The following is a 14,991-nucleotide window of genomic DNA, read 5'->3' as shown; positions in this document are numbered from 1 at the left end:
ACTAGAAAAGCAGCCAAAGATTTTACCTTTTTTCTCCCTCAATGTCCTGATGAGGTTCCAGAAGAATAGAGAGGGTGAACTCTTAAAAATTGCCTTGTTACTTACCATCTCAAAAACGTACCATCAACCGTACTCAAACTGAATGTCTGGCTCCATTCTGACCAGCAAATCTAAATCCCTATTATTCTTGGATACAATCTCCCTTCTTCTCTGGTCAGGTTTATGTCTTGGATGTTCTCAAAACGTACACAAAAGTCTGCAGTATAGTAAAACCTTGGGTAAAAAGTGTGATGCTATGTGGCTTTGTTTACAATGGAACTTCTCTAAACAATTTCATCCAGAAAAATCTACTTCACATGGGGTTCTAATTGTTATTGTCAGAGCTCTTTGAATCAGAGCAACTCCATCTTCAACAGGGACTGGGTAAAATGAGACTGAGACCTATTGGACTGCATTCCCAGGAGGTTAGGCATTCTAAGTCACAGGATAAGACAGGAGGTCAGCACAAGATACATGTCATAAAGACCTTGCTGATAAAACAGGCTGCAGTAAAGAAGCTGGCTAAACCCCACCAAAACCAAGATGGTGAGGAGAGTGACCTCTGGCCGTCAGATGTGAGATTTGTTTCTGTGCTCAGAGAGCTTATATATACTCTGTGCATTTATATATACCCTATCTGTTCAAAGAAGAAATTTAAGTTAGCTCAACTTAAACTACAGGACAATCCAGCTTTGTTCATATTTACCAATCTTCCTTTGATTTTTCACATAGTAGGTAGCTGAAAAACGAGACAATGGTCACCAGCATTTGGTTTACTTGGTAGTTTTATAGAAAATTGTAAATTCACAAGTTGGCATTCAAATATTTATCATTCTTTGAGTTTGAAGAGAATATGCCAAGTTTGCCAAGCATCCCATGAACCTAGATGAGTCCAGCACCGAAGTCTTAGACTATAAAAGAGAACAGGCACTGGAACTAGGCAAGCAATAGAGGGATAACCACTGAGGCTCAGATGAAAAAAGTCTTCAGCAGTGTCATTTCAAACCAAAATATAGGAGGGAAGCCTCACAAAAAACCCTTTTCCAGATGGCTGGGAAATCTTTGCCATAGCGTACAACAGGCTGATTTCAGCAGCTTGTGGTGATAAAATAGATACAATTCAAGCAAATATTCTGCTAAGGGAGGTTAAGAAGGGGGCGGAAGGGGGAGAGGGAGTGTCTCTGGCAGACTTGGTTAAGGAGGGTTGACTTCCTCCCGACTATACAAGTAACCAAGGCCTTTAGATAGTTAAGGGGTTAAGAATTTTTTAAAAAAGTCTAAGCTAAGGAATCAATGGGATAGCAGGGGCAGGATGAGAGAGTTAATAAATTAAAAGCAAGAATGTTTCAATCTATTTGCATTACAAATAGAATGGAATGCAGCTAAATATTCCTCAAAAAGGTGGGAATTTGAACTGGCCTTGGATGGAGTACTTGAAGCATAAAAACTCCCTCTGGTTTTCTTTTGGGAACCAGGATAAAAGCCTCTCCCACAAGTTTGTAGCTAGGCCAGCTAAGGAGAGGAAAGCAGCATTTCAAGATAACGCAATGTGAAATATTACCAAGTTTAAGGCAGGGATTCTTTCATTTCTACTTCTGCCTAGTGACTACAACTGTACTTGGGCCTTGCTTTCTGAGTGACAGGTACAGAAGACAACTACATTTTTCCCTTTGAAACATGGGTAGTCTTTGAGTGAAGAGCAGTATGATCCATAGACATTGCTCACGCTTTAAAAAGCTGTTCTTTGCAAATCTGTGGATATTCAGAGTCTATAAATAGTTGAAGGTAGAAACCAATTTTAGAAACCCTAAACATTCTCAACATAAGATCAAATACAGCTGAATATCTTACCTTGAGAACCAAGGCTGAAGCGATGAATCAAAAAGGAGAGACTCAGACAATTTTAGAACAAAACAGGTATATTTCTATTAGACTACCTGATACAGAAGATAGTGTGGTATGGATGGATAGTATGAAGGACAAATAATACAAATATATTTTATTGAAATAAACAAAAATGCATACACAGCTCAATGGGTCACCTGGAACAAACTTGCTTGACTATATTACTGAGCAGAAACAAAACGGAAGCACAAACACCTTTCTTTTTTTGACATGTATCTGGAGATAGGTAGGAAGACACTACTTGGTTTTTTAAAAAACTGACCTTCCCTTAAGGCCTGGTCATAGAAGTGTAAACAATGTAAATGAATCCACCATTACCAGTTGTCATATCATATCTATGTCACCTGTGTATTCTGAGATTACACACATACCTGCCAATATACCTGGGAAAGGTTATTTTATCACAGTTACACTTGAGTTCTTGGCAGGCAGGACTGAGGAAGAGTAATTTGAAAGAAGTTTTACATCCTATTTAGAAGAAATCACTAGTATTTCCTTAAATAACAGGTTACAATAGAAAGATACTGCCTGGAAGTTATCCTTTCACTTTGGTTCATTTTTAGTTTTTCTTTATGATTTACATAGCTGTTTAATTCATTTGCTTATAGTACAATCCTGCCATAAAGTATTAAAGCACAAGATACCTATTATTCCTTCAACATCTGCATTTTTCAAGTTTTATACTCTACATCCACAGTACGTCAGCAGTTCTTGAATGTTTAAAAAAATAAATGGGTAAAATGCTTCTAAAAAATGCAGATGTTTATAACTACAATGGTACTAAGATGGGAAGGAGACAATGAGAGAAGGGATAAAAGCAAACATGTTCATGTGCAGGGAATGTGGTTCAAGTCTTTGGATTTAAAAACAAGTTCCCCAGAGAAGCTGGCACTTCCTTTGCCCTCCAAAAAGGACCTGAAAAGTCCCAATCCAAACTTTAGAAAATTAGTTATGAGATGCAATAAATGATGATCAAAGCAGTCAGAGGGAGAAGGATGAATGTGTCTTCCATTTAGCTAGAGACTGTAGCATAGCCTCTTTAGGTGTTGGTGGATCAGTAAAAACGACTGAAGTACCAGAAGTGCTTGGAAGGATAGGGGTACAAAGTAATGACCATAATACCTTGTCTAAATCAGTAGCAGGGCTTCATGGCTAGGAAACTTTTTTAAACAGTAAAATGTCATTAGGATAGATCACTCTCTCACCAACATTAAATGTGGCAGAATTAACCAAAAAAAAAAAAAAAAAAAGAAAAAAAGATTTACACGTAGATATAGCAGTAACAGAAAATTACAAGGCAGAGAACACAAAAGAATCAAGACAACGCTATAGGTTCAACAGTATTCCATGAGGCTAGAAAACCGGTTAACTTTGAAAGCCCTAGCAAAATATCACTCTTGTTTATAAATCACTTATTTATCATATGACCACACGTTGAATCCTTGTCTTTCCACATACTGAAGAATCCTACATTCAGCCTTTAAGCATTCTGCATTTCTTTGCCAATCTTGTAGCTGAGTATCTTGTTCCAGTCGATTTTGGTGCGGGTAACTGGAAGCTGCCGGCGCAAGGCCTTGAATGTGGTATCTGACATTGTTTGATAGTTTTCACTAATTGCTGTCTGCAATAGATAATTGAAGATGAGTTGCTTGAACAGAAATGGGGCTGGTTGTGAACAGAAAAGTAATGCTATAGTCAATGGATATGCTTGAGTCCCCTGTGAAGGATAGACAGGATATATTATTTTCAATGAGCTCCTCTCCAATCTCTGAAGTAGGTCAAGAAGTTCACCTATATTATTTCTAAAATGAGGGCTACAGTCCCAAGCAATCCTCAAACCCTGACTGTAAGCAGAATGCCAACTTGGAAGGTCTGCAAAGTCTCCCACATTTAGTAAAACTGAAGAGCATGTATATTTACATTAAAGGACACAAGGCCTAACAAAATATGCTAACAGCGAAATAATAAGATAGTAGATCTAGGAAAATTAACTCCAAATCTTCTTACCTGATACTCATTTTCTGCATTCTCTATGATTTTAATAAACTCCTTGGCAGTTTGGGCTTCATTCTAATGAAGGAAGGAAGAAGGGGAAAATCAGATTTTTTTTTAATGTGTAAGCAGTAAGATCCTGAAAGTAAGTCCATCTTAACTAACATTTGTATGACAATTTCTAGTTTTCCAAGTGTTCCCATGCCCACTACCCTCCTTTGATTCTCACAACAACTCTATGGAAGACACTATGTTATAATCATAACCCCCATTTTGCAGATGAGAAAACAGAATCCTCTTAAGCAACTTGACCAGAATTATACAGCTTTTGAATGATAAAGATGGGATCTGAAATTAGGTCTTCACCAAAAAAACCCATGCTGTTTCCACTCTACCACAGTACGCCCAAAAGACATCATCAAGTCTTGAAACCTTGATGCCTTGAAAATATTTCTGGTTTAAAATGGTATGAACAATGCCCTTGGACACATCAGTCATATACATAAGCTCACATATGCCTTTATTTGCCACTTATGATGTTAAACTAGCCAATCACATTTTGTACCACGTGGTTCAAGTCTAAAATGAAATGAATCTCCCTCTTCCTGTTACCATTAAGTACAACAGAATTAAAGGGAAGAGGGTAGGATTTAATATCTAGAGCTGCAGTCCTAAGACAGACTATGAGGTCAAAACTATTTTCTACTTTCATAATAATACTAACACAAAGTTATTTGCCTGTTTCACTTTCACTCTGTAATGTGTGTATGATGTAATTTCCTAGAAACTACATGATGTGTGATGACTTTATCACTTTCAGGGATAATGAAAGGTATGAAGCAGAGGCCAGGTACAGTGGCTCATGTCTGTAATCCCAGCACTTTGGGAGGCCGAGGCAGGTGAGGTCAGGAGTTCAAGACAAGCCTGGTCAACATGGTGAAACCCTGTCTCTACTAAAAATACAAAAATTAGCTGGGCATGGTGGCAGACACCTGTAATCCCAGCTACTCGGGAGCCTGAGGCAGGAGAATCACTTGAACCTGGGAGGTGGTGGTTGCAGTGAGCCAAGACAGTGCTCCAGCCTGGGCAACAAGAGCGAAACTTCATCTCAAAAAAACAAACAAACAAGCAAAAAACAACTAATATCACAATAAAGTCCGCCATCTTTTAATACACAATTTGTGAAGACACAGACTAATGCCATTCTTCCCACTATTTTTTTCTTTTGATTTGGAAAATATATTCACAAAGATGTTACTTATTAACAAGTAATGGGTTTGTTATCATTATTTTTAATTAACGAATAGTTTTAACACTTCTTAGTTTTCTTTCTTTCTTTCTTTTTGAGACAGGGTTTCATTCTGTCACCCAGGCTGAAGTGCAGTGGCACGATCTTGGCTCACTGCAGCCTCAACCTTCCTGGGCTGAGGTGATCCTCCCACCACAGCCTCCCAAGTAGCTGGGACTACAGGAACTCAGCTGATTTTTATATTTTTTTTGTAGAGACAGGGTTTCACCGTGTTGCTCAGGCTGGTCTTGAACTCCTGAGCTCAAGCTTTCACCTGCCTCGACCTCCCAAAGTGCTGGGATTACAGGTGTGAGCCACCACTCCCGGCCCACACTTCTCAGCTTTAATTTTTAGTGAGGTAAACATTGATAGATCTAACACATAAACAAAAACTCTTTGGGGGTACTCAATAACTTCTAATAACTTAAAGAAGTAATGAGACTATCAAAGAAATGCAAGAACAAATCATGTCTCTTCTTTCAAGGTATAGAACACAATAGTGGCCAGGCATGGTGGCTCACACCTGTAATCCCAGTACTTTGGGAGGCTGAGGCAGGGGGATCACTTCAGTCTAGGAGTTTGAGACCAGCCTCAGCAACATAGAAACCTCATCTCTACCAAAAATAAAAAAATTAGCTGGGCATGGTGGCATGCACCTGTGGTCCCAGCTACTTGGGAGGCTGAGGTGGGAGGATCGCTTGAGCCTGGGAGCTCAAGGCTGCAGTGAGCTGTGATCATGTCCTTCCTTGCACTCCAGCCTAGGCAACAGAGTGAATTCCTGTCTCAAATAGACCACCACCACCAAACCACAAAACATTCTAATTGAATACTCCTAAAAATGTTGTTTCTCTAATGATATAAATGCAGCCCTATAGGATGCAGTTTGGTAAACTTTCCTTGCTCTTGGTATTTATTGAATGAAGGTATTGCTGTCCTTGAGTAACTATTACAATTGAGAGAGCGACTAAGAAGGACATTTGTCTAAAGTCATAATCAATATTGTGAGTCAAAAACTGTGAACTAATATATGCTGGTTGGTGATAAGAGGCACTAACAGAAGTGGCCAAAATCAAAACATTAAAAGCAAACTGAATTTCTACTGGCAGAATCAGCACTCAGGATCAAAACTAATTTTTTAAAGAAAAACGAGACATGAGTAAGACAGACACTAAATATTCCATACTCACCGAAACAGTTAGTGAATCCTGTACATCTTTATGACTAACCAACTGAACATTGCCATCTTCATAATAGTGAACCTGTGTGAGACAATGTTTGAGCCTTTTTAGGGGAAGTTCATAGAGAAACCTGTTATTTAGGACACAAATCCATGCTTTAAGCTATCTTTAAGTTGATGAGCCATTTTACCAACTCTGAACAAATAATTAATATAAGCAGTGGTAATTCACAATGGTGGTTAATTAATCCACAGAACACTTAAGTTTAAGAACGCTTTTTCCTTAGCAAGGAAAACTGATTATTAAGTTCAAGAAACATTTATTACATGCTTTTCACATTCTAAGCACTGTGCTAGGCATTGTGAATACAAAGGTAAATGAGATCCCACTCTTAACAATATTAAAATAATTAAAGTTATTAAACATTAGTTTTTCTCTGTGAAAACCAAGGAATTTTAATGGATCCTCATACCTAATATTTGGCACATTTCTCCATATACATTATCATCAATGTTGGTAAGCAGAACTGACCAGGTACAGGAAAAGTCACATTGAGGGTTAAAGACAGGACAGAAAAACAAATATTTTATTGGTAAATCAGATATTTTTAAAAAGTAAGATAAAAGTAGTTCTGAATATGTAAGGTAAAGTGAAGTGCTACAATTATGCAAACAATTAGCAAAAAGGAGAAGAGACTAACAAGTCAATGACATTTTAGGTTAAGTTTTGGCAACTTAAGATAGGTTTAGTCACCTTGACAAGGCTACTAATTGGTCATACACAATAGGATGAGGGTATCCTTTTGTGCATTTGAATAGGATCTTGAAAACAGTAGTTGTCACCTAAGTAGACAGGTAGAGAATGACATCTACACCAAGGAGATAAAAAAGTATAACAGAATGGAGTATAACTGGTTTAATTTGGAGAAGAACAAAGAACTCACTGCATATGAATATGTGTAAAAAAGGAGTGTGGCAGGAGACATTGCTATGAAGTGGAAACACAGACTGTGAAGAACAAAGCACCTTATAAACCATGTTAAGAATTCAGACTACTCAGGAGGCTAAGACGGGAGGATCACTTGAGGCCAGAAGTTTAAGACCAGCCTGGGCAATATAGCAAGATCCCCATCTTAGGGAAAAAAAAGAATGCAGATGTTATCCTATTATAGGTGACACACGGGAAAAGGAATGTTTTAGAAAGATTATACTTGTGCTATGAAGAAAATAAAACGAAGGAGCTGCTATTGGAGACATAATGCCAGAACAATAGTCCAGGTAATGCCATTTATCTAGTGCTATGATTTTAATGTTGGTACCTTCCCAAAATTCTTATGTTGGACCAATATGCAATGGGATAATATTAAGAGGAGGGGCCTTTGGGAGGTGATTAGGTCATGAGGATGAAGCCTTCAAGGGATTAGTGCCGTTCTAAAAGAGGCTCAATCAAGCTCTCTTGCCACTCTTCTACCTCATGAGGACAGTGTTCACCCCTTCTGTCACGTGAGAATGCAGAAGGTGTCACCTATGAGAAACAGAACTCACCAGTCACTGAATCTAACAGCACCTTGATCTTGGACTTCTTAGTCTCCAGAAGTATGAGGAATAAATTTCTGCTAAGGTATTTCTGCTAAGGTATACCAGTCTAAGGTATTGTGTTATAATAGCTGAAACAAGGCCGGGCGCGGTGGTTTATGCCTGTAATCCTAGCACTTTGGGAGGCCAAGGCGGGCGGATCACTTGAGGTCAGGAGTTCGAAACCAGCCTGGCCAACACGGCGAAACCCCATCTCTACTAAAAATACAAAAAAAATTAGCCAGGTGTAGTGGCAGGCATCTGTAATCCCAGCTACTTGGGAGGCTGAGGCAGGAGAATTGCTTGAACCCAGGAGGCGGAGGTTGCAGTGAGCCAAGATCATGCCACTGCATTCCAGCCTGGGTGACAGAGTAAGACTCTGTCTCAAAAAAAAAAAAAAAACACAAAAAAACCCCAAACAAAGACATCTAGTCTATGCTACCAGGAGATATGTGAACAAAACAGAATGTTTTGAGGGATAAAGCAGAAAAGGAAAAGAGAAGAACAGTAATCTTCACTTACTTCATCTCACTTACTCAGTAATCTTAGCTGTAGGAGCTATTATTTATTAAGCCTTTACTATGTGTTAGACACTGTGCAAACACTTCACTATTACTTATATTCCCTCATTTAATCCTTTTTTTTGAGACAGAGTCTTGTTCTTGTCGCCCAGGCTGGAGTGCAATGGCACGATCTCGGCTCACTGCAACCTCCGATTCCCCGCTTTAAGTGATTCTCCTGCCTCAGACTCCCAAGTAGCTGGGATTACAGGCACCCGCAACCACGCCCGGCTAACTTTTGTATTTTTAGTAGAGACGAGGTTTCACCATGTTGGCCAGGCTGGTCTCGAACTCCTGACCTTGTGATCCACCCACCTCGGTCTCCCAAAAGTACTGGGATTACAGTCATGAGCCACTGCGCTAGGCCACCACATTTAATCTTTACAAAAACTCTTATGAGATGAGGACTACGACTAACCCTATTTTACAGCTGAGGAAACTGAAGTTTGCCTTGAGGCAGTTATTAAACAATAACTTATCCATGTTCACACACCTAGTAAGAGGAGGAGCTAGGATTTGAATTAGGTCAAATTCCAGAGCTATCCAACATATGTAATACCTCCCAATGCTATGTTTTGTCAAAAAGTTAGAAATTCCTTGATCTGGGGAGAAATAGTGTCTCAGCAGGGGCTTACTCTTTGTGGATATCATTAGAAGGGCATAACTAACAGTCAAGCTTCATCTAGGCAGAAAGCTATTTGCAACAAAAAGACTTTCCTGGATAACAAGAACCCCCTACCTATCCTTGTTTAAAGGACAAAAATAAGTATCTTTTTTTTTTTTTTTTTTTGAGACAGTGTCACGCTCTGTCGCCCAAGCTGGAGCACAGTGGCTGATGTCGGCTCACTGCAACCTCTGCCTCCTGGGTTCAAGCAATTCTCCTGCCTCAGCCTCCCACGTAGCTGGGACTACAGGTGCGTGCCACCATGGCCAGCTAATTTTTGTATTTTTAACAGAGATGGGGTTTCACTGTGTTGCCCAGGCTGGTCTCGATCTCTTGACCTCATGATCCCCCTGCTTTGGCTTCCCAAAGTGCTGGGATTACAGGCGTGAGCCACCGTGCCCGGCAAGTATCTTCTTGAATGAGGACAAACAGCTGGCTCTATCCAGATGGGCATGAGAAGCTAGACTTTCCATACCCTCTCTAAACCCTGAAATTTTACCTTTTGGCTTTCTAAGAGGTTAAAGAAGAAAAGACAATATAAGAATCTACTGAGAACAGGCATGGTGGCTCACACATTTAATCCCAGCACTTTGGGAGGCCGAGGTGGGCAGATCACTTGAGGTCAGGAGTTCGAGACCAGCCTGACCAACATGGTGAAACCCTGTCTCTACTAAAAATACAAAAAAAATTAGGCAGGCATGGTGGCAGGTGCCTGTAATCCCAGCTACTTGGGAGGCTGAGACAGGAGAATCACTTGAAGCCAGGAGGCAGAGGCTGCAGTGAACTGAGATTGCACCACTGCACTCCAGCCTGGGTGACAGAGAGAGACTGGAATCCACTGGAGACAAGATGAGAATCCAATGGAAAAGAAGGGTGATAATAAGAACCACTAATACTTACATGTAAAATCAGAACAGCAAAGATGTGGGCAAAAAAGACTGGGCTAAATGATGATGACATATAAAGGTTAAAATCCCAATAGATAAGAATATTTAAAATACAAGTAGGTCACAATCAAATATCAGTTTTGTTTGTTTTTTCATTAAAAAAACTAGAGGTTCAGGGACTGAAAAGAACATTCAAAAGGGGAATGAGCCGGGTGCAGTGGCTCACGCCTGTAATCCCAGCACTTTGGGAGGCCAAGGTAGGCGCATCACGAGGTCAGGAGATCAAGATCATCCTGGCTAACACAGTGAAACCCGGTGTCTGCTAAAAATACAAAAAATTAGCTGGGCGTGGTGGCATGCGCCTGTACGCCCAGCTACTTGGGAGACTGAGGCAGGAGAATCGCTTGAACCCAGGAGGCGGACGTTGCAATGAGCCAAGGTCGTGTCACTGCACTCCAGCCTGGCGACAGAGCAAGACTCCATCTCAAAAAACAAAACAAAACAAAAAGGGGGCAGGGGGGAATTATTACAAACAGGATGGGAGATATTTAAAAAAACAACAACAGATCTGGCCATAGAAGAAACAAGAACTTCTGTATTTCTCAGAACTTGTCTAAAGAGAGGAGGTATGCAGAGCACATTCTTTTTGTTCGAGAATAAAGACTATACAATTAGTTTGAACTTCTGTTATGTTTTTTAATTAGGACATGGAAAGGAATATAGGGTAAGGTCAATAAGCCTCACTGTTTTTGATCTCAATGAAAAATTCTAGGGCCAGGCGCAGTGGCTCACGCCTGTAATCCCAGCATTTTGGGAAGCTGAGGGAGGCGGATCACAAGGTCAGGAGTTCGAGACCAGCCTGGCTAACACAGTGAAACCCTGTCTCTACTAAAAATACAAAAAATTAGCCAGGTATGGTGGCGGGCGCCTGTGGTACCAGCTACTCAGGAGGCTGAGGCAGGAGAATGGCATGAACCCGGGAGGTGGAGCTTGCAGTGAGCCGAGATCCTGCCACTGCACTCCATCCTGGGCAACAGAGCGAGACTCTGTCTCAAAAAAAAAAAAAAAAAAAAAGAAAAATTCTAAAAAATATTAATTTCATTACCTAATACACTAATGTTATTATAATTTTTAGAAATTAACCCAGCCTGGGCAATATAGTGAGACCCCGACTCTACAAAAAAATAAAAAAAGTTGGCCAGGTACAGTGGTATGTGCTTGTAGCACTAGGTGCTTGGGAGGATGAGGTGGGAGGATCATTTAGTTGAGGAGTTTGAGGTTGCAGTGAGCTATGAAAGCACCACTGCACTCCAGCCTAGGTGACAGAGTTGAGATACACCGTTTCAAGAAAGAAATTAAGCTCAAAACTTATGTGTTCTAAGACCTTTTCTAGGTCTCATCTGCTAATATGAAAATGGTTCAATTAACTAACACAAATTTCAACATGATTGTCATCAACATAAATCCTCAGAAATTGTTGCCTTCTCAGAACGATGTTTTTGCCTATAGACTAGCCTGAAAGGCTAAATATCTTAACGACTTTTCCAAATAATTCTCACTCCAAAATTTAAAAGATATGTAAATGAAATAAGCTTTCCCCAAAAGTGTGCTCAATCTGTGCTTAAAAAGGTTTAAATGTGGGTCTGTACACTGGGCTGTATTTTGAATCTTACCATAAATTATCACCCTTTGTGATGTGTGCTCTTATTTTATAGGTTTGCACTGGCAGAGCTAAAATACAAATGGCTGTTTCCATCTAGAAACAAAGTAAAATTTATTTACACAAAATTTACAATAAGCTTCTACAATGCTGATACCATGGTTCTAGGAAGTTAATGCTAATGCCACAGTTACAAGAGATCTAGAGCGCTAGGCTACTAAGATATTTTGTTAACAGAAACAGAACAGTATGCTGTCTTAGGTTGCACCTTCCCAGAAGGAGACCCCAAGACAAAGATTAGAGAAAAAGTAGTTTATTCAGGAGCGAATCTCACAAAGCTACAGTAGGGGACAGAAGAAGTGGGACACAGAAGGGAAGGAAGCCTTAGAGGTACGTTTATGAGCAGGTTACAGCTGTGGGTATTGGGCTCCGGAAGACTAAACAGAATGTGCTTGAAAGTTGTCCTACTTGAGGAAGCTGCCATATTTATCTACCAACTCTTACATATCACTGAGGGCTCCTCCTAGAGCTGTGAACTCAACACCAGCCTGTCTCACCTGAGTTGGGCATGCTCCTATGGCCAGGAGCTACTTGTTGCAGGAAGCTATAGGTATATATAAAAAGAGCAGATTTACTTTTACAGAATTTATTACCTATGCACTTGATTAAATTAGAGCATTAAAAAAGACAACTCTTGGCTGGGCACAGTGGCTCACCTGAGGTCAGGAGTTCAAGACCAGCCTGGCCAACATAGTGAAATCCCACCTCTACTAAAAATACAAAAATTAGCTGGGCGTGGTGGTGTGTGCCTGTAATCCCAGCTACTTGGGAGGCTGAGGCAAGAGAATTGCTTGAACTCAGGAGGCAGAGGTTGCAGTGAGCCAAGATTGCACCACTGCACTCCAGGCTGGGCGACAGAGCGAGACTCCTCCTTCTCCTCCTTCTCAAAAAAAAAAAAAAAAAAAAAAAAAGACAACTCTTGGTAATTGTTGTTAAAGCACAGCTTCACATAATATAATACAGGTACGATTAGGTACTGATCTTCTCGGTTACCTGTACCTATTCTGACCTTACAGTTAGTGAGGCTTAAATATTAAATCACCCTGAGTTTAGAAAGTCAAACCTCTGCTAGGATATTAAACTTCAATCCAGACAGGCATCAAATGAGTTAACAGCTATCTTATTCAGCTGCCTGTCTACCCTGACATCAGCATTAAAAATCTACTTCTGGGCCAGGTGCAGTGGCTCACGCCTGTAATCCCAGCATTTTGGGAGGCCGAGGCGGGTGGATCACCTGAGGTCAGGAGATCGAGACCAGCCTAACCAACATGGAGAAACCCCGCCTGTACTAAAAATAGAAAATTAGCTAGGCGTGATGGCGCATGCCTGTAATCCCAGCTACTCGGGAGGCCGAGGCAGGAGAATCACCTGAACCCAGGAGCCAGAGATTGCGAAGAGCCGAGATCATGCCATTGCACCTCCAGCCTGGGCAATAAGAGCAAAACTCCATCTCAAAAATCAATCAATCAGTCAATCAATCAATCAATCAATCAATCTACTTCTGCTTGGCTATTTATATTCCAAAACACCTGCCATTCTCTCTAGTTATAATTTTTAGGAATTAACCCAGCCTGGGCTGGGAGGTGGAGGTTGCAGTTAGCTGAGATCACGTCACTGCACTCCAGTCTGGGTGATGGAGTGAAACTCTGTCCCAAAAAATAATAATTATTATTATTATTAATTTTAAATCTTTCCTAAAACTGCTGTTTGATAATTCCTAGTTATATCTTATGTTACCATTGAAGGAAAAATAACAATAACCATGTTGCCATACACTCTACATGCTATCCTTTATCAACTCAGAATAGCTCTCTCTGTTTACCACCCCAAGAAGGAGGCTTCTATTTCTATTCACTGCCATCAGTCTCCCTTTGCATCTACACATACTTGGTCCTTATTTAATACCAAAGCAACCTGCACATGTTTTAAAGATGTGAAGTTTTAAGTCTATAAACATGTTGGAATCTCACCTGAATCTTAAGCACGCCAACCACCTGGGCTGTAGGTGGTGTGATGGTGAACTTCCACTCTGATCTCCAACGACCATTCCTATTAAAACACACACACAACATTGCAGAATTAGCAATAAGCACAAGAAAGAGGTGATTTGCCACTGAGGTACAGAAGTTGGGAAAGAGGGGTGCAAAAAAAGAAAAAAAAAAAGAGAGAGAGAGAAACTGTCATTTCCAGTTTGGCAAACCCAAAGCTCTGTCTACTCAAATGTAAGTCTGGATCTAAGTGGCCTGACCATAAGCCTTTTCTAAGTTATTTTGTCTTTCATTTTTCCTTTTTTCCCTTGAAATGGAAAACCATGCCTATTCTGCTCATGGGAGGCTCTTCCAAAATCAGATGAATAGGCTGCTGAGTTACACAATTAACTCAAGTAGCAGTAACCCTAAGCCAAGTAAAACTCAGATTTTCAACAGGGCACTTTACTAATCACTTGTTCTCACTCAAAATAAGAGTAACTTTTAAAGGAAAATATAATTATAAAACCTTAGAACTGTAAGGAATCTAAATCCCTCATTTATAGATGGAAAACTGAAGTCTGTAAGTTAAATAATTATTCCAAGCTAGTTGGATTAAAAACCAAGTCTCAACTGCTGGTTTCTTTCAGATGTAAATAGAAGAGAATATCTACTTCTTACCAGAAGTTTTTAGGCTGAAACTGGTGGCTTTCAATACATGCAATAATAGTCTGTTGCCCATCGATAGTTTTAGCATAAACCTATTGTTGGGAAAAAAAAATAGTTAAAGACTCCAAACACTTTTAATTTAAACAACATGCATTGTACAAAAGCAGAGTGTTAAATCCTTGGGGGAGACAAAGAATCACATAAAATGAGCTTAGAACACAATAGTGCACATGGGATATGAAAACAAAGCAGAACATGTTAGGTTCTACCAGAGACAGTGATACAATGAAAACAGAGGGAAATACTGCTCTTGGTTTGGGGTACAAGGCGGGTGCCATTTAGGCTGGGTCATACAAGACAGATGAGATTCTGATAAGCAGAGACTGAAAATAAAGGCAAGACAGGAAACTAAGGACTTGTTCAGTGAACAAGACTGTCAGGTTTAAAGGGTGTGTGTGAAGTGGACTAATGAAAGACAAAACAGGATGGTAGATTTAGGTCATGTAATAGTAGATGTAAAGTAAGAAGTTTAAGATTTTATTCTATAG

General features: G+C 40.0%; 1 protein-coding gene across 3 annotated transcripts in view; it reads right to left on the bottom strand.

Moving 5' to 3' along the window:
* Positions 1-1,940: 1,940 nt before the first annotated feature.
* Positions 1,941-14,991, bottom strand: part of CAPZA1 (capping actin protein of muscle Z-line subunit alpha 1) — a 51,785-nt gene continuing 38,734 nt past the window's right edge. Inside the window, exons 6-10 of one of the 3 annotated variants that reach the window (XM_017002424.3) lie at positions 14,456-14,535; positions 13,778-13,856; positions 6,412-6,483; positions 3,952-4,014; positions 1,941-3,661 (exon numbers count right to left, since the gene is read on the bottom strand). In XM_017002424.3, coding sequence (XP_016857913.1) covers positions 3,425-3,661; positions 3,952-4,014; positions 6,412-6,483; positions 13,778-13,856; positions 14,456-14,535 — 531 coding nt within the window. In that variant the 3' untranslated portion in view covers positions 1,941-3,424. Of the gene's footprint in view, positions 3,662-3,951; positions 4,015-6,411; positions 6,484-12,304; positions 12,352-13,777; positions 13,857-14,455; positions 14,536-14,991 lie in introns of those variants that run through there. The other 2 variants (NM_006135.3, XM_011542225.4) reach the window with 2 other exon arrangements.

This window comes from Homo sapiens, chromosome 1, assembly GCF_000001405.40.
Source record: "Homo sapiens chromosome 1, GRCh38.p14 Primary Assembly".
NCBI lineage: Eukaryota > Metazoa > Chordata > Mammalia > Primates > Hominidae > Homo > Homo sapiens.
The sequence above is the reverse complement of the archived record's forward strand: the minus strand, read 5'-3'. Positions and strand labels throughout refer to the sequence as shown.